General features: G+C 42.3%; 1 protein-coding gene and 1 pseudogene across 12 annotated transcripts in view, besides 3 other annotated features; both read right to left on the reverse strand.

Moving 5' to 3' along the window:
- The window catches only part of TGFBR3 (transforming growth factor beta receptor 3), a 225,660-nt gene that overhangs the window by 56,203 nt on the left and 143,778 nt on the right, over positions 1-25,679 (reverse strand). For all 12 annotated transcript variants that reach the window (NR_036634.2, NM_001195684.1, XM_047429247.1 and 9 more), the window contains one exon: positions 22,068-22,205. Coding sequence is in view for 10 of the 12 variants with exons in the window: in NM_001195684.1 (NP_001182613.1) it covers positions 22,068-22,205 (138 nt within the window). In the remaining 2 variants the exon portion in view is untranslated. The remainder of the gene's footprint in view (positions 1-22,067; positions 22,206-25,679) is intronic.
- Positions 210-1,409: an enhancer, noted in NCBI's record as "CDK7 strongly-dependent group 2 enhancer chr1:92202312-92203511 (GRCh37/hg19 assembly coordinates)". NCBI's record gives its function as "activates an origin of replication core promoter dependent on BRD2, BRD4, P300/CBP, MED14 and CDK7 cofactors, with strong dependence on CDK7, by STARR-seq in HCT116 cells {active_cell/tissue: HCT116}" and the evidence as "EXISTENCE:reporter gene assay evidence [ECO:0000049][PMID:35650434]".
- Positions 9,487-9,781: a silencer, noted in NCBI's record as "tiled region #7299; HepG2 Repressive DNase unmatched - State 5:Enh, and K562 Repressive non-DNase unmatched - State 23:Low". NCBI's record gives its function as "represses a minimal TATA promoter and a strong SV40 promoter by Sharpr-MPRA in HepG2 and K562 cells {active_cell/tissue: HepG2 | K562}" and the evidence as "EXISTENCE:reporter gene assay evidence [ECO:0000049][PMID:27701403]".
- Positions 16,391-16,891: an enhancer, noted in NCBI's record as "H3K4me1 hESC enhancer chr1:92218493-92218993 (GRCh37/hg19 assembly coordinates)". NCBI's record gives its function as "activates a minimal SCP1, AML or CMV promoter by ChIP-STARR-seq in primed H9 embryonic stem cells {active_cell/tissue: H9 hESC(primed)}" and the evidence as "EXISTENCE:reporter gene assay evidence [ECO:0000049][PMID:30033119]".
- LOC124904659 (uncharacterized) lies at positions 23,796-23,949 on the reverse strand (annotated as a pseudogene).

The raw sequence follows: 25,679 nt of genomic DNA on the forward strand, positions 1-25,679 counted from the left end.
TAACCTTGTTTTGACGTCGCCTGAATAAGAAAAAAATCCTAGGTCATTTTCCTGCCAAAAAATAACCATGCCCACCTAAGTGTAACTTCTCTGAGGCTTAGCTACTCATCAACACTGAACTTCCAACAATGTTTATCTAATTTTTTGACTTTTGCACTGTAGTAAAATCTTCCTTTCACTTGTACTAAAAAGGCATTTTTATCAAGGCTGTCACCAAAACCCACAACAGTCCAGAGGCCTTTGTCCCACTGCCAGCACAGTTCTGAATGTTTAGACGAGAAACCCTGGATGTTCTGCTTCTTGTTTCTCATTCATGTTGTGGCCATAAACTACAGCAACCCTATATACATTATACACAGAGTACGTTTTTCAGAGCGGAAAGCGGGATGTCACACTGGTGCATTCCAGAGGCAAGAAAGCAAACAGCACAAATACAGAAGATATCAACGGCAACTCCGAATTGTGTCCTGAAGTAATTAAAGAGCGATGCCGTGATGAAGCTGGTGATGGGGCTGATTCGTGGAGGAGGAACAACTCCCTCTGCTCCCTCCAGGCATTGTTGTCCTCACGGGCCAGCAGCAATAAGCTTCATACACTCAGGGCTGAGGAATTTGGAACTGGAGTTAACTGCCACTCCTCAGGCACATTCCAATAAGAAGAAAGCAAAGCTGCAGTGAGGTGTCCCTGACTGCAGGTCAGTGGAAATTTTCAGCTTCAGCAAGGAGTGAGCTAGCACTCCCCTCCTGACTGCCAGCTCTCCTGACCCTGACAAGGCTACAGCTGAGTTTTAGAAGGTGTTGTTTTAGAAGGTATTGTTCAGATGTTATTTCCATCTGATTTGCGGAACTGTGAGGCAGGCTACGGTGACCTCTACAGCAGAAAAGCGGAAACCTCAGAGAGTCTAATGGCCTACCCAAGGCCAGAGAGTCATGCACCAGGCCCAGACCAGAACTTAAGACTTCTGACTCCTGGTCACAGCTGGCCTCTGCTTGCACCCTTCCAGAAAGAAGACCTCACTAGCTCCCAAGACAGCAGATTTCTGTTCTGTTAGATTCATTTTTTATACACTAGTCTGAGCCATGCCTACTAGAACAAAGAATTCCTTCGTCTTTCTTCCATGAGACAAGACTTCAGGTGTTTAAAGGTGTCATCTGACCTCAATCACATGTTTGCTTTTTCAGGGCAACACCCCTAGCTTCTTCAGTTCTGCCCCAGATACCCTGGTTGTCAGAGCGTCAACAGGATAGTCTCTGAAAGACGGTGTCGGGACAAGATTCAAGGTCTCCAGGTATGGTCTGAGAAGCATACTGTGATGGTTCATTTTATGTGTCAACTTGACTGGGCCACAGGTGCCCAGATATTTGGCCAAACATTATTCTGGGTATTTTGGTGAGGATGCATTTGGATGAGATTTAAATGTTAGTACATTGAGTAGGGCAGATTTCTCTCCCTGACATGTATGGGTTCATCCAATCAGTTGAAGGCCTGAATAGAACAAAAAGCTGACTCTCTCACAAGTAAGAATTCTACCTGATGGCTTTCAAACTGGAACATCAGCTCTTCCCGGTGCTACAGCAGCCTACAGGCCTTCGAACTGGAACTGGGGCACTGGCTCTGCAGATTTTGGACTTCTTAGCCTCTATAATTGCATGAGACAATTCCTATAATAAATCTCTTTCTCCATATATGTGAACACTGCATGAAGCATCCACATTAGCTTTGGCATCAGCTGAACCCTGCTATGATCTCATATTTACTAATTGATATAGTTTGCATATTTGTCCCCACCTAAATCTCATGTTGAATGGTAACCCCCAACGTTTCACATGGGGCCTGGTGGGAGGTGTTTGGATCATGGGGGCAGATCCCCCCATGAATGGCTTAGGCCATCCCCTTGGTAATAAGTGAACTCTCGTCTTGAGTTCACGTGAGATCTGCTCATTTAAAAGTGTGTGGCACCTCCCCCGACACACGTTCTCTCTCTTGCTCCTGCTTTTGCCATGTGTAAGTGCCTGCACCTGCTTCATCTTCCTCCATAAGTAAAAGCATCCTGAGGTCTCCCCAGAGGCAGATGTTGGTGCTATGCTTCCTGTACAGCTTGCAGAACCATGAGCCAATTAAACCTCTTTTCTTATAAATTGCCCAGTCTCAAGTATTTCTTTTTAGCAATGCAAGAACAGCCTAATAAACTAATCTATGCTTTAAACATAGAGCCAACAAAGATTTATGGAGTGCCTGCCTACTCCATTGTTCTCCATGCTGGAGACACAGTGGAGAGACACAGTGGAGAATATGACAGAAAAAATTCCCTGCCCTTATGGAGATTAAAGTCTAATAAGACAGCCAGAGGAGCACAATAAGGTCACTGAGAAGTTAAAGACCTAAAGGAGACGAAAGAACAAACCACACAAACATCAGGGCAAGGAGCATTCACAGTTGAGACGCAGCAAGTGTAAGGTCTGACATGGTGAAGGAAGACCAAGGAGGTCAGTGTGGCTGGACACAGGGCTGAGAGGAGGTTGGTAGGACACAGGGCTGAGGCAAGGTTGGTAGGACACAGGTCCCAGAGGAGACCAGTAGGCCCAACAGGACCTTGTAGACCGTTGTAAGGACTATTGAAACATCTACCAAATGTTTTCGCAGGATGGCTCTGGCTGCTATGTTGAGTCTAAGGGGAGACAAAAAGCAGGAGATCATTAGTAGACTTCCGGAATAATTCAGGTGAGAAACAGTGGTCACTCACACCAGGAAGGATGGTAGAGATGATGGTACCTAACCCCCCAAGGTCTTTTCACCAGTTCGAGGCTTTTCTATCCTATCCTTATACCCATAATTCTCCCAAAATAAATGCAAAGTCTTATAGTTATTCTTCAGACCCATATTTCAAGTCTGAAGAGACCATGTAAAAATCCTTATTTTATTAGCTATAAATAATTAAATTTTATAGCACACCTTCTGCACTTTCATCTAAATCCCTGAGAGGTTGACCAAGACAAGGCTGAAGTCTGTGACTCATACGTACACTCCCACACTAACCTGAGCACATTAGCAGTCCTTGCTGGGGTTCCAGGTTGTTCAGCCAACTACCAAGGGACCTCACAGAACCTTCCTCATCTTTGTAAGGGCATCATGCTACAACCCACCAAGAACCCTGCTGCATTAGTCCATTCTCACACTGCTATAAAAAAATACCTGGGACTGGGTAATTTACAAAGAAAAGAGGTTTAATTGGCTCATGGTTCCACAGGCTGTACAGGAAGCATGGCTGGGAGGCCTCAGGAAACTTACAATCATGGTGGAAGGTGAAGAGGAAGCAGGCGTGACTTATATGGCAGGAGCAGGAGGAAGAGAGGGAGTGGGTAGGTGCTACATACTTTTAAATAACCAGATCTCGTGGTAAATCACTCACTATGACGAGAACAGCACAAAAGAGGAAATCTTCCCATCCCCATGATCTAATCACCTCCTACTACCAGGCCCCACTTCCAACACTGGGGATTACAATTTATTTTATTTTATTTATTATTTTTTGAGATGGAGTCTTGCTCTTGTCACCCAGGCTGAAGTGCAATGGTGCGATCTCGGCTCACTGCAACCTCCACCTCCCAGGTTCAAGAGATTATTCTGCCTTAGCCTCCCGAGTAGCTGGGATTACAGGCGTGTGCCACCACATCCGGCTAATTTTTGTATTATTAGTAAAGACGGGTTTCACCATGTTGGCAAGGCTGGTCTCAAACTCCTGACCTCAGGTGATCCACCCACCTCGGCCTCCCAAAGTGCTGGGATTACAGGTGTAAGCCACCACACCCAGCTGGGATTACAATTTTTTTTTTTTTTTAGATGGAGTCTCGCTCTGTCGCCCAGGCTGGAGTGCAATGGCATGATCTTGGCTCATTGCAACCTCCACCTCACGGGTTCAATTGATTCTCCTGCCTCAGCCTCCCAAGTAGCTGGGATTACAGGCGTCCACCATCAGGCCCGGCTAATTTTTGTATTTTTAGTAGAGACAGGGTTTCACCAGGTTGTCCAGGCTGGTCTTGAACTCCTGACCTCAGGTGATCCACCTGCCTCAGCCTTCCAAAGTGCTGGGATTATAGGCCTGAGCCACTGTGCCCGGTCACAGGATTACTATTTAACATGAGATTTGGGCAGGGACATAGACCCAAATCATATCATTTGCTGAAATGAAGACAAGATATTTCCAGGTCATTCCTCTAGTCTACCAGTCCATGCTCCAGACACTGCATTAATTTTCATGGCATAGCACCCTTATCAGAGTCTGGCTTGTAGAAGAACATAGGATATAAAGAGAATAGCAAAACACATAAGAAATGTAGGGAAAATAATTTTGTCTAATATGAGAAAGGGTTGCAATCATCACTGCAAGGAAGATAACTGCAAGAGTGTATAGGAGAAAAACAACCTATTTTTCTCTATGCTCACACCACTCTCAATAGTTTACTTCTGACATCGCATGTCTGGGTGTTTTTCCCACACCAACTAATTCTCCAACTCAGAACACCAATTGATGCTGTGTATTTCGATGTAATTCTGATACCATCTACCTGGAGATAGGTCAGACCGCACAGATTAAGGGCTCAGTCCCACAAGACTGCCCCTCTTCAGATGCTTCTGATAGTGGGGCTATAAATCATAGGTTCCCATGACCCTGAGGTTCAATTATTTTCTAGAATGGCTCACAGAACTCAAGGAAATACTTTTAAGTTTATTCATTTATGATAAAGGATACAACTCAAGAACAGCAGCCAGATGGAAGAGATGCACAGGGCAAGGTACGGGGAAGGGGTGAGGAGCTTCTGTGCCCTCTCGGAGAGCGCCACTCCCCCACGCCCCGGCACCTCCACATGCTCACCAACCAGCAGCTCTCCAAACCCTACCCCACAGATCAGGGATTTCTAGGGAGCCTTCATTCCACAGGCATGACTGATAAAACCATTGGTCATGTATGATTAAGTCAATCTCCAGCCCTTCTCCCCTCCTTCAGAGGGGTGGGCTGAAAGTTCTAACCTCTAATCACATGGTTGGTTCCCTTGGCAACCAGCCCCCATCCAGAGGCTATCCAGGAGCCCCAGCCACCAGTCATCTCACCAGCATACAAAAAGGTACTTAACACTTCAGAGATGATGAGGGTTGGAGGAGCTGTGTGCCAGAGGAGGAGACTATTTATTCCATGCCCCATCTTCCACCTTATCCCTGGAGGCTTGCCACAACACTGTCCCATTTTGGGTCCTTATAATCTCAACCAAACTGTTGCAGTAACTTTCTACCCTCCCAGCCGCTATTCCTGTTCCTTCTACCCCTCCTCCACACTGTCACCTGGGTAATCCTTCTAAAAAGTAAACACATGATAAAGCGGAATGGCACCTAAGCATCTTAACATGGCGCATGACTGAAGTGCCTCTGCCCGCCCTCATCTCATGCCACCCTCCCACATACCCAAGAACTACTCACAGTTGTAGAACACATCATGCTGCCACACACTCCTGGGTCTTTTTACACCCTGCACCCTGCCTGAACCCGTCTATCCTACCTTGCTCCCATGGCAAACCGTTCTGTGTCCTCCCAGGAGTATCACCTGCTCTGTGAAGCCTCCCAGGCTCCCTACTCTCCTCACAATGAGCTGCACACAAGTGACTGTACAGACCTTTAGTCCATCCCTCTCTCACATGGACTGCAACTATTTATCAGCATACCTGCCACCCTCATTTGACAAAGAGCAACACCTCGAGGGCCAAGAAAAAACCTTGTTCATTCTGAATCCCTTGGGCCTGGCATAGTGCTGGGCATGAAGCAAGGACCCAATAATTGCTTGTTGAATGAAAGCTCAATGTTGTTACCTACAGGAAAAGATACACCATAATTGATTCATTCCCATTACCCAAACTCATTGCTTCCCTTACTGCCCAGGAAATGAGCTTTTGGCCAAGCTTTAAAGCTAATGATTTGATTTTTCACCTAATAACTCCACCTAAAAACCAATTATTAAAGCATATTTAGTAATTCCATGTCTTCCCCACAACCCAATGAACTTTCCTCCTGCTTGCTAATTAAAACCCAATCCTCTAACATTCCCTGACATGACAAATGTCTTCCTGTGGGAATGAACAGAGCACTGGGCTCCAAGGGTCCCAATTCCTAGTAAACGTTTGTTGAAGGGGAACCATGAAGCACTTTACAGTCAAACAAATCCTGGGATGCTGAGGTGCACCCTGGACTCTCCTGAATGCTCCTCCCTACTTGAACCATGCACAACATTTGTATTTGAAATTCAGGTTATGCTACCAGACTTTTTTAAAGAGCAGAACATTACTCTATCTGCCAATTGCTGGGAGTTTTATTATAAGAACTTACGGCTAGGCAACCACAGCCAAGTTTATTATTTTTTCTGGATCAGGTTCAACAACCTCATCCAAAACTACATGAAAAAAGCCAAAGAGGCAACCAGCCCTTTGTTTCCACACCTGTCTTTAAGCTTTAACTCTTAAAGTCCTCAGCGGATCCACGGAAGCCTCAAGGTTGATCTCCCAAGCCTGAGTGAAGTGTACAAGTCCCAGCTAATGAGCACAGACACCATTTTCCTGGCACTGAGGTTCTTTGCTTTAGCACTTAGCACATCAGCTGACTCACCACCTGGCAGGTTGCATTGTAGCCTCTCTCTGGGCCTCCCCAACGTTGGTTTAGTCTTCAGTGGTGAGGAGAGGAACTTGCTGTGGATAGTGCCACACATCCCCATCCTCCTGCCTCCTTGACCCCTACCCCAAAAAGAATGCTCCCAGATGAAGTCTTGAGGAAACTTCAGGCCACCCTAGATCAAAAGTGGATATTAAGTCTCATCTTAAGTTTCACCTCAACCTCCTTCAAGTCTATTCAAATGTTACCTTCTCAATGGGCCCATTTAAATTTACAACCCCACCACCCAGCCCCACTCTAGGAATTCTGATTTTCCCAAACTCACTTTACATTTTATTTCTACAGTACTTGTCACCTTCTAAAATGCCATATAATATGCTTATTGCCCAACTCCTTCCACTAGAAGGTTCCTTCAGAGGCTGGGATCTTAGTGTGCATTGTCCATGGGTATACCCCAAGTGTTGGGTACAAAAAAGATACTTGTTAAGTATTTGTTTGATAAATAAAACAAATCTTGATGTCCAATTAACTGGCAGTGCCTGCCTAAGGTTCTGTGCTGAGAAGGATTCTGAGGTCATATTCAGGAGCAGTGGAGAAATGGGAACAAATGCCATGAGCAACCACGTGTCTGCCAGGGGGTTAGCGAAGGCATCATTGCTCTACAGCTGTTATCCAATGTAGTGTCCACTGGCCACATGGCACCATCAAGTACCTGAACCTGAAATGTTGCTGGTTAAATTGACCTGTGTTATATAAATGTAAAATGCATACCACTTAGCACAAGAAAAATCCCTATCTCATTAATTTTTATTGACTGATTACAAGTTTAAGTGATATTATTTTGGATCTACTGGGTTAAACAAAGTGTCATTAATATTAATTTTACTTACTTTTTTTTTTTTTTTTTGAGACGGAGTTTCGCTCATCACCCAGGCTGGAGTGTAGTGGCACGATCTCAGCTCACTGCAGTCTCTGCCTCCCAGGTTCAAGCGATTCTCCTGCCTCAGCCTCCCGAGTAGCTGGGATTACAGGCACCTGCCACCATGCCCGGTTAATTTTTTGTATTTTTAGTAGATATGGGGTTTCACCATGTTGGGCAGGCTGGTCTCGAACTCCTGACCTCAGGTGATCTGCCCACCCCGGCCTCCCAAAGTGCTGGGATTACAGGCACGAGGAGCCATGCCCAGCCACTCAGCCTTCTTTTACTTTTTAAATGCACCAATAGAAGACTTAAAATTACATATATTGTTGGCATTATATTTCTATTGGACAGTGCTTCTCTAGAGCCTCCTCCAATTTGACCCTAAGAAAGGAACATGTTTATGAACTGATCATGTCCATCCATCTGCTTCTTGGTCTGGTCTCAACATAAATCAATGTCAAGAAAACATCTCAAGCCCAACGCTTCCCAAAGTCTGATCCTCAGACAGAAGTACGTTAAAATGCAGACTCCAGGGTGGTGGGAGGTAGAAATGTAGGAAACTACATTATAATCCTCCCTCTACCACTCATGATTCTGACGCATACTTGAGGAACATTGTTCTAGGCCATAGATATGAATATTATTTAAACTCCAATAATCTTTATAAAGCTCGAATGAGATTGTTTGAAGAACGAGCAAGAATCTCTCCTCTGCACTGATGATAAAAAGCCAAGAGGGAGAGTGTAAAGCCAAGTCATGGATGGAGTCATCTCCTTGCACATCTCAAAAGGAAGAAATGGGCCTTGTGAAATAAGAGAAACCATAGCTCCCCAATGATAATGAAAAAGCCTGTTGAGATCTCAGAGGAAATCTGTTCCAGGAATCTCAAACGCACGCGTACACACACACACACACATCCCCTACAACTCAGCTGTGGTCCATTTGGAACTTGAGTTATCAGCTGGGTGAGTGCCTGCTATTCAGGTTACAGGCCCTTGGGGCTGCTCTAACTCGCACATCCAACTGCACACATGTCCGTGACTTTGGCATTGGTGGAAGTTCAACACTTACACAATGAAAATAGACTCCTCCCCCTCTTCTGTCCTGCCCTACTCCCAGCTTTCAGTATTCCTCTTCCCTTTTCCTGACTCCTGCACAAACAAATCTCTTTTTGGAGTTGCCTGCTTAGGAAAATAGAAAGAGCAAAACAAGGAAAACAAAGAAAGCAAAGAAAAACACACTGATATTTCAGAAACACCTGCCATGCCAAGAACTTGCTGGCTCAGTTCCAGGGGGAAAAGACACACGGTAAAGGAGAATAGGTATTCCTCAAGAATCTCAGTTGAGGTTTAAGTGGGATCTACAGATTGGCCCTAGAACTCATCACAGCCCCCACACAGAAAGGCATTACAAAGATTATGCTTTTATGTATTTTGGACACACAAAGTCCAGCAAAAACAAACATACTGGAACAGCACTGAAATATTTACCTTCCAAATGAAGACTGAACCCTGCATTTTAAAAGAGGAAAATCACACGTTCTCCCTACCCAATTCCTGGGAGGACCCCACTTGCCTATTTCCTCTGAAGCCATGTGATGTGAAATGCAATCCGAAACATGTTTTCTATTAACATATATCATGACTCAATGCCTTTTAAAAAAGCTTCATTTCAAAGAAATAATAACTTCCATGCCTGTGAACCTAGGTTCATAATTTGCAAAGCTACATATTCATGAGCCATGTGATGATGGTATCTGCCAATCATGCATTCATGAAACACAAATCCATGCAGCCATTTAAAAATTCTTGGGTGATTTTATTTAGTACCCCAAACCAGATTACTTTCTTCCAATAAAATGACTTAAAACATATTTGACTATTACTTTTTCTCAAAACATTCATGATGATCATCCTGTTCTTAATTTTTGCTGAAATATAAAAAAAACCTAAATGACTGAAACCGCCCCATGTTCTTAACACCCTGCATGTTTACACACGTCCAAGAGGAAAGCTCTGAGATGCTGCCCTCCAAACACAAACATGCACAAACTTGAACATGAGCCAGTACAAAAGCAATACTCTCATCTCCCATGGAAACGTTATCAGAACAACAGTACATGTGAGTGTGTATATACACAAAGAGAAGCAAAAGATGTCTTTCCATCTAAAAAACAAACTAAGTCCCCACAAGTTACCAAACTGATGAAGCACAAGCTGCTTTCTAATATAGTTTTCCAAAGTAGAGTCCCAGGCCACACAGGAATCCTGTCCAGCTTTACAAAAAATTCTTCAGACTCCTAACTTTACCCTTCCTCATCTGCCAATGTTAGCCTGATGGAAGAGCTTACCCCCAAATTCAAAGTGCATTTCAATCTAAATGATGTTTTTCACGAAAAAAAATAAAATGTTGGTATCATTACTATTACTTGCCATATTCCTTTATCTAATTTTGTCCTCCAAATGTGCTCCTGGAGAACCCCACAGGAGGGAAGACTCTCTTTTTTTTTCTTCTAAGTTACATCCAATCAGCCAAGTCAAGTTCAAGAGCAAAAACTGATTTTTACAAATGCCTGGCTCCAAACATGTTCCTAGAATTCTCTTTATAGAGTTTTTTTTTTCATCAAGGCTGATAATCTCAACTCCATTTTACAGAGAAGGAAATTGAAGCTGACAGAAGCTAAAGGATCTACCCAAGGCACACAGCTGGCAGACAACAGGGTTGACAATAGAACCAAAGACCTGGTTTCTCACTCTAGAGCTCTTTCTATTCCATCGCTGTGGAAGAGTCAGCTACCAGGCTCAGAAATCAGTAGTGTAGGGTAGACACGCACATCCCTCAGCCTCATGTTAATAAAACACTAGGAAATATGATATTAATCACAAAAGCTCAGGCTGCACACTTCCTAAGTGCATGTCACATGGATTCTGAATCCTCATATCTGATAGTGGAAACAACTGGGGCTCTGAGCAATTAGATAAAGTGCCAGATTACACACCTTTAGCAAGAAATGAGTGCAGATTCAAACTGTCTGCTGGACTCCAAAAATGATGCTCTTTCCACTGTGGGAAGGTGGACACTCTGCCTGGAAAGGTCATCTCCCGTTGGTGAGGGAACTGACTGGCTCACAGGTCAGCAAAGACCTGGGTGTCTTAGGGCAAGCTTTCTACCAAGTCTGGGTAGGCAAATACAGAGGAACATTCTCCAGGCTTAGAGGAGAGTGAAAAGGAAAAGCAGTGAGGCAAAGCAGGGGGCTCCCACCCTTCACTGCTGCTTGCAGAGATTCTCCTGGTGGGTTATTTCCCTCTCTGTCCCCTCTTCCCCAGCAATCTCAGGAGCTGTGCTGGTCAGAGTGGAGAGGAACGGAATGGAAGGGACAGACAGAAATAGAAATGAAACAGTTAAAGCAACGAAATAATTACTTGGCTAGAAGTCAAGTTAGAGTAAACAACAACAAATTGCTCAAGGATCTTAAAAATTTCTGTGATGGTCAGTTTTATATGTCAACGTATCTAGGCCATCTTCCCCAGCTATGCAATCAAACACTCATCTACACGTTACTGTGAGGTATTTTGTAGACGCAATTAAACTCCATAATCAGGTGGCACTAAGGAAGGGAGATTGTATCAGATAATCTGGGTGGGCCTGATTCAATCCATTGAAAGCCATTAAGAGCACACCCAAGGCTTCCCTGAGGAAGAAAAAATTCCACCTGTGGACAGCGGCTTCCGCTCATGCCTGAGCTGCCCTTCCTGAAGGCCTCCCTGCGGACTTTGATTGCCCTGCCTGTCCCCACAATGGCATAAGCCAATTCTTTGTAATAAATCTCTTCATATATATATCCCCGACTGGTTCTGTTTCTCTAGATAAATGCTGACTGATAGCTCCTGGGAATGGCTGGTGCAAGCCCTAGGAGAAACAGAGCTGCATATTCTGGCCCAGGAACCACAGACCTAACAACAGTTTGGGAAAAAAAGTTCTAAAGGGTATTTCCTTGGAGGGCAAGAATGGAGGTGAGGCCTCTAGCCCGAAATAACTGTGGTTGGAGCCTCCTTGAGCTTCCTAAAATTAGCTCTGAAGCAAAGGCAGAGCCCTCTTAAGCAGGCCACACCCATTTTGCAGTCTACATTGAAGTCTCTGAAGATGATCAAGGTGGTCTCCTAGGTCAAAGCAAAGAAGGTTGAACTGCACATATTTAGCATCAATTAACAAACGGTCCCCACAGGGTTCAGGATAGATGTAGATATTAGGGCATCCTGGTGGAGCTGATCCAGAAACGCTCCAACTGGGACCCCAGAGGGAAAGCTCTTGGGAAAGGGGTCAAGAAACAGTTTTAAAATCTTTATTCAAGTGAAATACTGATATGATCTAGATCCCAGTACTGAAATAAGTCATGCATAAAACACTTTGCTGAAACAAGAAGTTTGCTCACCTGATGCGATGCCCTGATTTGGCTCTATAGGTTCAATTCTGAAGCCCTGTTCTTGGAACAGTCATGAGTGGCTCCAGACTGGAGGCCAGAGTTAGAGATAAAATCATAGTCATGCCCTCGAGTCAGCAGTGTGACTGTTCCCAATGAGGTCCCCATTTACCATTCTGGAAAGTATTATTATTATTATTATTATTATTATTATTGCTAACATTTACTGAGTACTTACTAAGCACTGTCCCTGGGTTAGAGCCCCCGTTTACTAGCTATGGGACCAGGTACATGTTAACCTCTTTGTCTCAGTTTCCTCATCTTAAAACAAAGACAACAAAAGCACCTACTTCACAGGCTTATTATGAAGACTAAGCTCATACATGTAAGTACTCAGAAGAGTACCTCACACACGGCACACACTAGAAGTGCTTGTTAAACATACACATATGTGTGTATGTATCCTCACATTGGGCCATGAGATTTGTCTGACAGATGCTGAGGTTGACAGGCCACGAGTCATTCCTCACTATGGCAGGACCATAGCCTTCTTATACAAACTGCAAGAAAAGGATATAAAAACCCTGTTTTAATGGATTGGGGCAGGCTTGGCTCCAAACAGCAGCTCTGAACATCACTCTGCCATCTGTATCACCCAGAACCAATAGAATCTCAAGAACAGGCTCTCTGTGATAAAGATGGAAAGGCCAGAGATCAAATGGACTGTGAGACTTTTGCTAGAGGTGGCAGACGGAAGACCCCCTGACTTCCAGGTATACACTGTGTCATTCACCACCTCAGTGGGACAAGGCAGAGGCAAACCAATGGTGACTCCCTAGCACAGTGGCATTAAGGACCCACAGTTGCAACAAAGACCCTGGGTCATCTAAGGATACAGTGTTAGGAACAAAAGGCAAAAGCAGATCTTGAGAAAAGCAAATTCTATCCTAGACACAGAAATTAGAAGGCTAAAGGGACTCCTTCCTCCCCTGCGAAATCAGAAGTAGCTTCCAAGCTAGAGTTAGATAATGTGGACTCGAGGTGCAAGAACCAATTTGCCTCAAATAAACCCAACAACCTGTGTCCAGGAAGGAGTTGGACCATCCTGGAGTTGCTTTCTGAGATGGAGAGTGTAGGTCACCTGTGGAGAACCCTTACCAAAGGCATCACTGTCTATAATTTATGAGCGGAACAAGGCACAGCCACAGCCTTCAAGTCAGCCTCCCAGAGTCTCCTGGTAGACAGTTGGGGTTTCTTTCCCCTCCTATTACATGGAAATAAAATATTCTGCAACCTTCCTTAACAAAACAGTCACTTTTTCTACCGAACAGCTCTCTGGAGGCTGGCCACCACGTCAACAAAGGGCACCAGAGATGTGACATTTGATACAATTGCCCAACACTTGGGAAGGGCAGATGCATCTGATTACCAGATTAGCCTTAGACAATAAAGCCTTAAAAGACGTTATGGGACTCCACACGAAGAAACACCAACCTTGCCTCCTCAGTGAAAGTGAGTTTATTTGACCTCAATTTGTTGAATGAAAGCAAAGCCTTCACAGGGCTGCAACCCATGCCTGCACACAGACATGACGCAAGTCCAGCCAGAGCCAGGAAAAGTCTACACTTGCGTGAACCCTCCTGGACAGTAGGTCTTCCTCAGGAAAAATACACCCAGGCAAATCTCCCAGGGGCCACGGGCCATTCACTCACTCACAACATTCACCAGCCTTAACCTAGCAAGTTAGAATAAATCCCAGGGAGTCTTTCAAAAACCCCTTCTGGACCAGGTTTACCAGTTGAAACTGGGCTCTTTCCAATGTTCTAATTGCCATAGTGACATTTAGGAAGAGCTCAATGGCCACAATAGGGCCAAAAACTCCTATTCCTAGGAAACAGGAATGACTTGTTTGAACTAGGGTAGTTGACTGACCCTAGTTCATGAGAGGATCAAGACCCATATAATTAAGGCCCTTAAGGACAAGCCACAAAACCAACAGATGAGCAGACTCCGGAATAAAAATGCATGGTACACAACCACTTGGAATATCCCACAGGACACAATGAGTCATTCCACAAGAGACATTTAAAAAAAGAAGAAGAACCACCAGCAATCTTGAAACATTTAGTTATTTAATCTCCCTTCAAGAGAGAATTTATCTGGGGAAAGACCTCACTGCAAAACACAAACTGGTATATCCGGGTCCCTGGAATACAGGGGTAATGCTTCTGGCCGAGCCAAGAGCTGTGTTTGTGTCTGCAACCTTGACCCATTTGCCACATGCTGTTCTCCAGAGCCAACCTCATGCAGGAAGCTGCCTTGATTGCATTTGGAAGAAGAGAATTCTCATTTTCTCCAATTTCTACTATTCTCATCTTCTCCAATTTTCACTATTATTTAGCGTAATAGTACTTAGCACACTAAACTGCAATTCCCAATTTTTCAATCAGCTCTCCCACACAATGGGAAGCTCCCTGACGACAGGCAATTCACCCCAGTTTTCCCTAGATCCTCCACAGCTAGCACAGTTCACAGTCAGGCACTAAAAACTGTGTGTTGGATGAATGAACAAGCACATACATAAACCATCATACCCGGTATGCTAATTCTGTGTTTTTTTCTAAACATGGGGGTGGGGGAACTGCCAAAGAAGGGAAAGAAGGAAATTAGCAAAGAAAAAAATTATTTCCAGATTTTTAAATGTAACACAATAGAATACAGAATTTTTTTTAAAAAAAGTTCCCTTCTCCACAAGCAAACTTGAATGTCTGAGTTATTCTTAGGGCGTTTTTGGACAGACACTACAACCCTCAGTTACACATCACTTGGCTTCATGAAAAGGTAACAGCTGGACATGCACGGTGGTATGGGCTGTGCGTGTCCCTTCCTAGTGCTGCACTGAGCACACATCTGGGGCTATTTAGCAACTGATTGGAAATTTAGCCTTCTGATTTCCAGTTAAATACTAGGCACAGGAAAACAAATAGCACTTGTTTTTCACTGAGTCTTGTCAGTCATCCAAACTCCAGTGCAGACCAGAGAACTGCCTGTGGTTTGGTGGCAGAGGCCCAAAATATTTGGACCTTTTTTTTTTTAATGCCTCTAGTTTAAGTAAAAGGAATAAACTAGATGTTGGCAGCTCCAGCTTCTTCACCCATCCCTCCCCGCTTCTTGAAAATACAAAACTGGTTTTAAATTTATTAATTTACATTTTTCATTAGGATTAAGTTTTGATTTGTTTTTAATCCAAAGCTAATAGCATAGAGTTTAGTTTCTGTCATTTATTGCAACTGCCCTGCCTTGATATTTACTTGGATTTGCTGAAGAGGCAATGCTCAATTTGCCAGTTTCTGTTCCAAATTAAATTGGGATATAACATCTAGCAGTCGTACTATCAAAGAATCACAGAGTTTAAAAGCTGGGAGGAACTTTAGAGATGAGCTAGTACGATCCCCTCATTTTAGAAATGAGGAAACGAGGTCTGAGTAGTTAAGTGATTTTTTTTCCCGATGATGTATATAACTAGTTAGTGGCAGAGCCAAGACTAGTACTCAGGCCTCCTAACACCCAGGCCAGGGTGTTAACTGGAAACAAAAACCTGAATTACCTCCGAGTAGAGCTGCCCAATAAAGTACAGGACACCCAGTTAAAGTTGAATTTCAGGTAAACAATGAATACTTTTTCAGTATATGTTATGTCCCATATACTACATGGGCACACTAACAAAATGATTTGTTATTTATCTGAAATTCAACTTTAATTGGGCATCCTCTATTTTTATATGCCAGCTCCAGCAATTGTACCTCAAAGACCAAAATCCCCTTCTATGCCCCATCCCCCACTCAAACATACACACATTCACATACATTTGCTCTCTGATTTTAATGATAAATGGCTAGAAAAAAATAGATCACAGCACAGTAATATCGAGAGTGAATGAGGTTGGAAGAAGCTGCTTATTTCTTGAAACTTCTAATCTTAGATACCCTTTTTTCCTTATGAGCATGCAAAGTGACTAAGCCTGACATAAGTAAGCTGGCCAAGGCCTCTGGACTAGGTATTTTAGGTTATTAAAAGCCAGGCACTAGGGTCTCATCTTGAAAACGTCTGCTTGTCCTAGGGCTCCAAGTCTACAGACCTTGCAGGAGAGAATGCTCAAGTTTGGAATACAAATAAAGCAAGATTAAAAAAAAAAAATTAGAGGCCGGGCATAGTGGCTCACACCTGTAATCCCAGTACTTTGGGAGGCCAAGGCAGGTGGACGGCTTCAGCCCAAGAGTTTAAGACCAGCCTGGGCAACAAAGTGAAACCCCATCTTTACAAAAAAAAAAGTCAAAAATTAGCTGGGTGTGGGGGTACATGCCTGTAATCCCAGCTACTCGGGAGGCTGAGGTGAGAGGATGGTTTGAGCCCAGGCAGCAGAGGTTACAGTGAGCCGAGATCATGCCACTGAACTCTAGCTTGGGCTACAGAGCCAGACCCTCTCTCAAAAAAAAAAAGAAAAAAAGAAAAAAAAATCAGGTACATGGAATAAAGTAAAAAGATACATTTAAAAACCTAGTCCCTGCCCAGCACTGTGGCTCGCGCCTATAAACCCAGCACTTTGGGAGGCCAAAGTGGGTGCATCACTTGAGACCAGGAGTTTGAGATTAGCCTGGACAATATGGCAAAACCCTATCTCTACAAAAAATACCAAAAAAAATCAGCTGGTCATGTTGGCATGCACCTGTAGTCCCAGCTACTCGGGAGGCTGAGGCAGGAGGATCGCTTGAGCCCAGAAGGTTGAGGCTACAGTGAGGCATGTTTGCACCACTGCACTCCAGCCTGAGTAAGGGAGTGAGACTCTGTCCTCAAAAAAAAAAAAAAAAAAAAAAAAAAAAGTGCTGCAGCAAGTTTTTACTAGTTTTATGAAATACAGTCCACATACCATAATATTCAGCCTTTTAAACTGTACAATTCAGTGTTTCTGTGTGTATTCACAAGGTGTGGTATATTCACCACTATGTAATTATAGAACATTTTTGTCACCTCCCAAAAGAAATCTCGTATCATTAGTAGTCATTCCCCATTTTCCCCTCCCATCAGCCCCTGGCAATTACTAATCTACTTTCTGTTTCTATAGATTTGCCCATTCTGGACATTTTATATAAATTGGAATCATACAACTTGTGACAATTAGCATCTGGCTTCTTTCACTTAGTATAATGTTTTCAAGACCCATCTATGTTGTGGTATGTATCAGAACTTCAATCCTTTTTATGGCTAATATTCCATTATATGGATATAGCACTGTTTTCATCCACTCATCTGTTGGTAGACATTTGGGTTGTTTCCACTTTTTGGTTACTGTGAATAATGATGCTTTGGACATTTGTGGACAAGTTCTTGGGGACATGTGTTTTGCTCAGTTTTCCACAGAACCATTTTACATTCCCACCAGCAATGTATGCGTGTTCCAATTTCCCTACAGCTTTCACAACCCTTGTTATCGCCTTTTTTATTAAAGCCATCCTAGTGTGAAGTGGCATCTCACTGTGGTTTTCATTAGCATGTCCCTAATGACTCATGATATTGAGCATCTTTTCATGTGTTTTTTGGCCATTTGTGTCTTTTCTCTAGAAACCGTGTATTTAAATTGTAGTATGTCCTTAAAGACAACTTCATACTGTGGCTCTCATTTTAGCAAATTCAGGTTGAAGGTTCAGGCATCATCACCCAGTTAAGTTATCTTACTTTTTTTTTCAGTGTAGAAATGAATGCATAAATAAAAACAGGCTTATGTGATCCTTCTAAGAGATTATTTGCAGTTTCAACATGGCACACTGAGAGGGTAAGATGATTTTTATTTCTGATTGTTCTCTGGGCCACCCATACACCCTGCAAAAGGAAAACTATAAGATTATTACAACTTCATCACGTGTGTGTGTGACTCACACTCAAAGATTCACTACTTGAAACTCAGCCTGAAAGCATCACTCTTCATCCCACTCATATTTCCTAGGTAACCAGAATAACCAGATAAAGGAGCTGCACCTGCAGAGAAAACCAAATCCCACTTTCTCCCTGCCTGACACGTTCCCTTCTTGCCTGTGCTGTGAGGGGGTGAGAAGGACTGAAATGATTTGACAGAAAAAGACAGATGCCTTTATTACTAGTATTAAAGTATGTTTTCAGTCACCCTCAAGGGTGGCTGCGATGTCCTGGGTAACATAAGGCCCTCCTAACTAATTATGAAAGTTTTCCTTTTTTAATTTGGGCAGTCATAACAACACAGACATGTCCATTTAAATAAAAAGGTCACCCTGATAAATGAGTAGATGCTATTACTTGAACTTTTCTCATTGCCCTATTTAAAAAAAAACAGTTAAAAGTTCTGTAACTCTACGTACACAGTAGACAGCTCTGAGACAGAAATGCAAACCATCCAGCAGCATATCAGGAAACAGGCAAGGATACATGCATCGTGGACTGAGAGTCAAGAGACCCATTCGCTTTCCACAGCTCCTTTAGGCTCCCTGGGTAACCTCGGAGAAGACAGTGATGAAAACGGTGAAGCCTGAATTTCCAGAGATCCCGTGGGCCCTCTGAAGTGTTTGATGAACACTTTATATAAAATAATTTAGTTATCTTATCCCCAAACTTTAACTCTTAACTATACAAATGGATAAAGAGAACACACTACTGGATTTCTATTGATCACCAGACCCTCTGTGGCAAAGGCTATCAAGGAGATGAGGAGAAACTAAAATTCATTTCAGGCCACAGAGAGGAAGGGAAAAGCCTGCCCAAGGAGAGTGGCCCAGCTTGTGCAAGGACTTGCATCACTCGTTGTCTGCTGATGTGAGAACGTGAATGAACAACAGATGTTCCATCGTCTCTTCCAGGCCAAGAAGAAATGTGCAGACGGGAAAAAAACCGTTTTCCCTAAAGGAAGCCTGCTGGACAACAAAGCAGAGTTCAGGTGTCCTGGAATTTAAATCCTTGACTTCTCCTGATGCTGCCTCCCACGTGTTGGTAATTTTAGGCTCATTACTTGATCTGCAATCTCCTTACATGGGATTGATCCAAATGGGGCTGACGTTCAATTGTTTACTAAAGCGGCCACCTTCTTTCATTGTTAGTGTCTAAACTGATGACCAAGAAGCAGTTTTTACAGATTTTAAGCAAAATTAAAGCAAATTAATAACTAAGAGTAAGACACTTTCCGTCAAAACCCATGAACTGGCAGACTGAAGAAAGAATCCAGGCAGCGATAAGTACAACTATGACATACGTAGCCCACACTTTCATCTGGACCTATAGCCCAGAGAAACAGAACCCCTTTTGATCTGGGGCCAGCCAAACTAGATATTTCATAAATACAGATGCAAATTCAACACCCGTCCCACATGCTCTTTACTGTGACTAGAAATAAATAAGAGCAGCAACAGCAGGTGATGTCTATAAACATTTTATATGTGATCTCACTTACTCAAGATAACAGCCCTATGATGCAGGGCCTGAGAAAAATCCGGCTTAGAGAAATTAATTTGCCCAAGGTCACTGCTTGGATCTAAACCAGGACATGCACTGCCTTTGCTCATAATGCCTCCATAACCTGCCCACTGTGGTAGCCACTAGCCTCACATAGCTACTAAGCACCTGAAATGTGGCTAAGCAGGACTGAAGAACTGTAATTTAAGTAGCCACGCACAGCTATTTCCTATAGTATTGGACAGTATAGCTCTACAGTATGAGGGCTAAATGTGCATATGACTTTATGATCAGAGCCATTAGTATTACTATCACAAGTAACTTTAATTAGAGGAGACTGACAGTGATTATGAGTACGAAGGCAGACAGTTTAGCATAACAGCTTGTAGAATGGGTCCCATCTAGGTTTGAGTACCAACTCTGCAAGTAACTAGCCATGTGATTTGGCCCACTACTTAACTTCTCTAAATCTTAGTTCTTCATCTATAAGAAAGGATCTACACTATGGTACTGTAGAAGGCTATCGTGAGAATTAAAGTATTAGAGCATTTAGTGACCTGAAATATCCTAAGTGCTAAATAAATGTGCTAGTAATAACAACTAAATAATTACTGATTTTTGATTTTTGGCCTTTTTAATATAGAATAAGAGTTGCAATTCCCAGAAAAGGCTACAATAAAGTTATTGTAATGCCCACCTTGTAAATGTACCTTTTGAGTTTAAATGTTTTCTTTTGAAATTAATTTAAATTTACAGCAAAGTTGCTAGTACAAAGGACTCTACTATACCCTTTTAACTAGATTCATCAGTTTTTAAAACCTTGCCACATTTGCTTTATTCTTCTCTATACAACATGTTTTTTTCCTGAATGATCTGACCTTTTAGCCCTTAATCTTAAAGAGTATTAAGTATGTTTCCTAAGGATATTCTCTTACATAAAAACAACATAATTATCAAATTCAAGGAATATAACATTGATATAATATTTTAATCTATAGGCTCAATTATAATTTATTTATATAAAATACAATCCACTGTCCCCCTAATGTCTTTTATAGCAGCTGCCCCACTCCCTACCCAACAGGATCCAGCTCAGGATCACATGTGTCTTGTCTTTTTGTCTCCTCTAATCTGGAATGGCTCCCCAGCCTTTCTCTGTCTTTCATGACTGATACTTTTGAAGATTATAGGCCAGTTATCTTATAGAATGTCGTTCAATTTGGTTTTGTCAGCGTTTCTTCATGATTAGATTCAGGTTATATGCATTTCTGGCAAAAATACCACAAAAGTGATGCTGTGTTCTCTCTCATTTATAGGCACACAGCGTCCATCTGCCCCACATTGCTGATATGAATTTTAATCACCTGGTTAAGGTATCATGGGATATCCCCAAGGTATATAGTCACTATTTTTTATGTGTAATTAATAAGTAATTTGTATGAAAGATATTTTAAGAATATCTAAATATACTACTTCCTGAACTCCCTCCATCTCTGCTAGATTTAGCATCTGTTGATAATTCTTGCCTGGTCAACTTTTATTATGATGGTTGCAAAATGATCATTTTCTAACTCCTTTGCTCCTTCTAGATTTTCTAGTTGGCATTTTACTATAAAGATGAGCTTTTCCTTTTCTCCCTTTTATTCATTTATGTACTTATTATAATAATTGTATTGACTATGGATTCTTACATTATTCAACAAGAACCTTTGAGTTTTTAGAAGTACTCTTCAAACACAGGGGAAAGAAACTACAGATCTGGATTGAGAGACATTAACTGGGCAAAGTTTATTCATGAGGCAAGAGGAAAACTATTAACTGGGGACTCCACTTGTTTTGGATGCTTGTGGGCAAGAGAGGTTTAAGGCCTCAGGCACCGCAGTTAGGACATTAGCCTGCAGCTCTCGTAATAGACAATGTGAGTTACAACTACCAAGTTGCAGTGCTGCTCATCATCAGACATGATATCACACCAAAAAAATTCCATCCAAACAACCCATCGATTTCTCCACAACTAGCACACTTGAATGTTCTGGCAAACTCAAAGGGACATGATTTACAAATAGTAGGTAATATTTGGATCTTTCGACAAGAGCTGAGTTCCAGCTTGTTTTTTTAATAAAATACAAATGACTTCATTTTGGAGCTCACTGTGTCACTTTCTCAACAAACAGATCCTCATATCAGGAATTAGGCCTGTGTTATATACAAATAGTATGGGTCCGTGCATATTCATTTTGTGGTCAGGGACCACACACCCGGTAGCCAGTTACAATATTTACAGGGCTCCTGATGCCACAAGGGGGGTTTCAGAGCTGAAACCAAAGCTCAGGCCACACAGAGTATGACGACAGGTCCTGCTCTAATGTGCGCACTAGACCCCAGCCTCTGCCCACAGAAGATGGGCAGGTGTGTCTGCTTTCTGTGAATGCTTATCTATGTCATCATCCAAATATCACTAAGTGCATCCTCCAAATTTAACACTCTTTGGACTCTGGCATTATTTCAGTGAAAGTAAGCCTTTATGAAAAGTTTGGCAAAGTTTAAGGACCATTATGTCCTTGTGCTAAGGATCAGTTTGGGGGAGGTTTAAGCACTTACCAAAAACAGTCTGGAGACCCCAGTGGCAAGTCTCTCTGTCTTCAGATGCCACACCAGGGGGTGTGGGGAGTTGAGCAGGAACACAACAGACTTGTGGTGGATGTGGACTGAGGAGATGGGATTCAGGTGAAGTGTGACCTAGGAAGCAACAGAAAGAGGGCAGAAATCTTAGCCCTGGCTTTCCATGAAAATCACTCAGAGCAGCCTCTGGAATACTTTTTTTGCAACTCACTATCAACAGAAACAAGCTATAATGTAGCTCAGATTCTATGAATAAGATACATTAAGTTGAACCAGATGATATTGCCAATATTTGACCATTTTTTACTACAAAATGGCTATTTCATATTAGTCAACCACACTAATCTCAACCAAAGCATGATTTAGCTCCCTGCCAAAGAACAAATAAACAGAACACATTTTTTCTTTCTAAAAGTCAGCAAAGGTGGAACAAAAGTTACCTTCCCTTAGGCCTGCTTTAAGCTTTAGGTCAAATGACTAAGGTGAAACTTGGAAAACAAAATCCCCTTGGGGTGGGGTCATCCCTCTGGATCTCCAGAGAAATGACTTTCTTCTCCTCCAGGTAAGCTCCAACCTCTATAAAGTGAAATGGGTTCTGCCAAAGAAAAGTGCCGAAAGCTGAGAAAAAGCGGCTGCCAAGGGAGGCTGCCAGGGCTTTCATTGTCTCAGCTTTTAGCTTGAAGGGCTTTTCCAAAGAAATGAAGCACAGAGGACACACAGAATAAAGAGTGATTGTATACAGCCCCTGTCAAAAAAAAAAAAAAAAAAAAAACAGGGAAGAAAACCATGGGATGGATACAAAAACTGTAACCAATTTTGACAGCAGATCAAGGACTATTGCAGGTCATCACTGTTGTCATTAACATCACCAAAAAGCACCTGTGAATGGAGCTGCAAACCATGGACTCAACAAAGTCCTCTTGGCACACATGAGCCCAGGGCAACATGAACATAGGAGAACAAAGGGATATATAAGGAAATATTGACTAGATACTTTCATACAGTCTGTCTCATACTGGCTTTCCATACAGAGCGGGGAGGCAAGACCCAAGAATCACATATTTAAACAGAGTGAACTCATCAAACATAACCATAAAGTAATAAGGGAGGGACAGGACAAAAAAGGACTTAGGCTAGAAAGACACAGACTGAATGATGCACTGGGAATAATAGTACATCTCAGCTAGAATCCTCATGAGGATGACATGGTCTAGATCCACGATCTGTGTCTATACAACCATCAGGGATACAGCACTAAATGCTGGACTATTTCACATTTTCCCAATGGCTGCCAGCCCACTGTGATCTCAACATACTTCTACCTTTTTTTGTAGGGACCACTTATGACCAATGTCACTTATCATAGTATGCTCTCAGGTCATTGATAAATAAAACAGTAAACTTTCATTATCTTTCAAAACCCAGGCTTTAGCACATGGTAAGCACTCAGCAAATGTCAAAATAATGTTTTAATTCTCTGCTTTTCAATGCCACAAAAATATTCTATGAATAACTTGCATCATCTTGTTCACTAGCTTGAGAATGCATGTCTTAATTTCCAAAATGGACTGTAGGCCAGGAGCTTGAGACCAGCCTGGCCAACATGGAAAAACCCCGTCTCTACTAAAAATACAAAAATAAATTAGCCGGGCATAGTAGCAGGCACCTGATACTCAGGTGGCTGAGACACAAGAATCGCTTGAACCCAGGAAGTGGAGGTTGCAGTGAGCCCAGATCGTGCCACTGCACTCCAGCCTGGGCTACAGAGTGAGACTCTGTTTCAAAAACAAGCAAACAAAAAACTGTGCTTAACATAGACACGATAATACACTTGATCTTAGCCAAAAGGCCGGGAAGTAAACACACACAATAAATATTGACTTATCACAGCAAATTCATATATTTATATGTTACCTAAAGGGGAAAAAAAGGTTCAAAGGAATTTAGCTGGCTAATTTGCAAAAAAATACAAAAATAAGCAATACTCCAACTGTCATGAGCTATTTCTGCACACAGCTAGGATCATTTTTATATCTGGCATAAGCATAGCACTAAATCAAAGTACTAGATGAACAGTGATGTCAAGTACAGCTACAGCAAAGTAATGTGCTCCTTGGTTGTAAAGACTCTACCTCACAGCACACTTTGGAGATGCTGTCCGCATCTAGAAATAAACAGATTGATAGCCACTGAGAAGAAGAGATGCTATAGAAATAGCAGAAGCAAAGATTCAAACTGTACTGAACAAAGAGACACACACACACTATGGAGAATGAAGGAGGGATGAAATCATCATTTGTTCCAGTGTACCTGAAAACTGCAAAGCAACACTCTTTCACTAATAGCATGTATCAGTAAAAGGTTTCTCTATTTATTTATTCAAGACTATTTACTGAGTACCATAATGATGCAAAGACTAGTAATGTATATCTGCAGGGGCTGCATCAACCCTTCTTCTGAAGATTTTCTTTGCAGTCCTCAGGCATACAATTCTTCTTAGAGCTCATAGATATGCAGAAGTTTCGGTCAAAATATATACTACAAAATACTAGTAAGTATGTATTTCAAATGAACAAGAATTTTTTATAAAAGCTCATGAAATGAGAAGAAAAAGATCTATGAGACAGATATTGGTGCTCAGGTCCAAAATTTTCCAGATGGTCAAAAGTGCTGAGGCCTGGCTCATACAATCAAGGGAAGATTTCTAGGAGCCACAGCTCTCTGAGCTTTCCTGGAAACAGCTCCCTCTTCAATATGTGGCAGTGTCTGGCCAAGATGAATCTCTGACTCTGGCACACAGGGTCCAGGCAGAGCCCCAAAAGCCATTTGGCAAAGAAGAATTCACACTACAATTGGGAAATTCAAAGAAAAATACCCAATAGTTTCTTTAAAAGATCATTTGGCAGGGACAATGAGTCCTGCAAGTGCCTGCTCACCTAATCCCTCAGCAACCTGTCTTTTCTATGCTTCCCCCGCTTGAGTAAATCTTGCTGAAGGGAAGATAAAGGACAACCAAAACAGCTAACAAAAGAACCATGGTATAAAAGCTTCCAGAAATGTAGAGAGAACACACAGCAATATCTCAAAGAATTCCTGGCTAAGTTGCTCAATTTCTCCCAGGCTTGGGGGAAAAAAAAAAAGACAAAAGAAAAGAAAAAGAAAATCCTCCTTAGGATCAATTATAGCTCAGGGTAGACTACAGTTACAAATATAAGAATATCCTGAAGCTTTTTGTGGTTACACTCTCCAGTGCTCATGGTCTAAAGGCCGAGCTGAGGCAGACTACAGCAAATAAATATCCCATGAAGAAATGATACAAAGAGTATCCAGAAATCTCCAGCTTGGAAATCCAAACAGTAGTTTAAAGAGTTGACCATCAATCCTATGTCAAATTTACACATAAAAATACAGGTTAACAGCTTTGTCTATGGGCTGATAAGTAATAAGGAATTGAACACTGGGACCATGCAAGCTGTGAAGGCTGGTAGAACCAAAGGGGATGCAGCTCAAAGGAGCAGCAATGACCAGTCTCGAAACCACTGGCTTCTTTGTAAATCTTTGGGAGTCATGGAACATTTGAGAACTGAATGC

The sequence above is a fragment of the Homo sapiens genome, chromosome 1 (assembly GCF_000001405.40).
Source record: "Homo sapiens chromosome 1, GRCh38.p14 Primary Assembly".
Taxonomy (NCBI): Eukaryota; Metazoa; Chordata; class Mammalia; order Primates; family Hominidae; genus Homo; species Homo sapiens.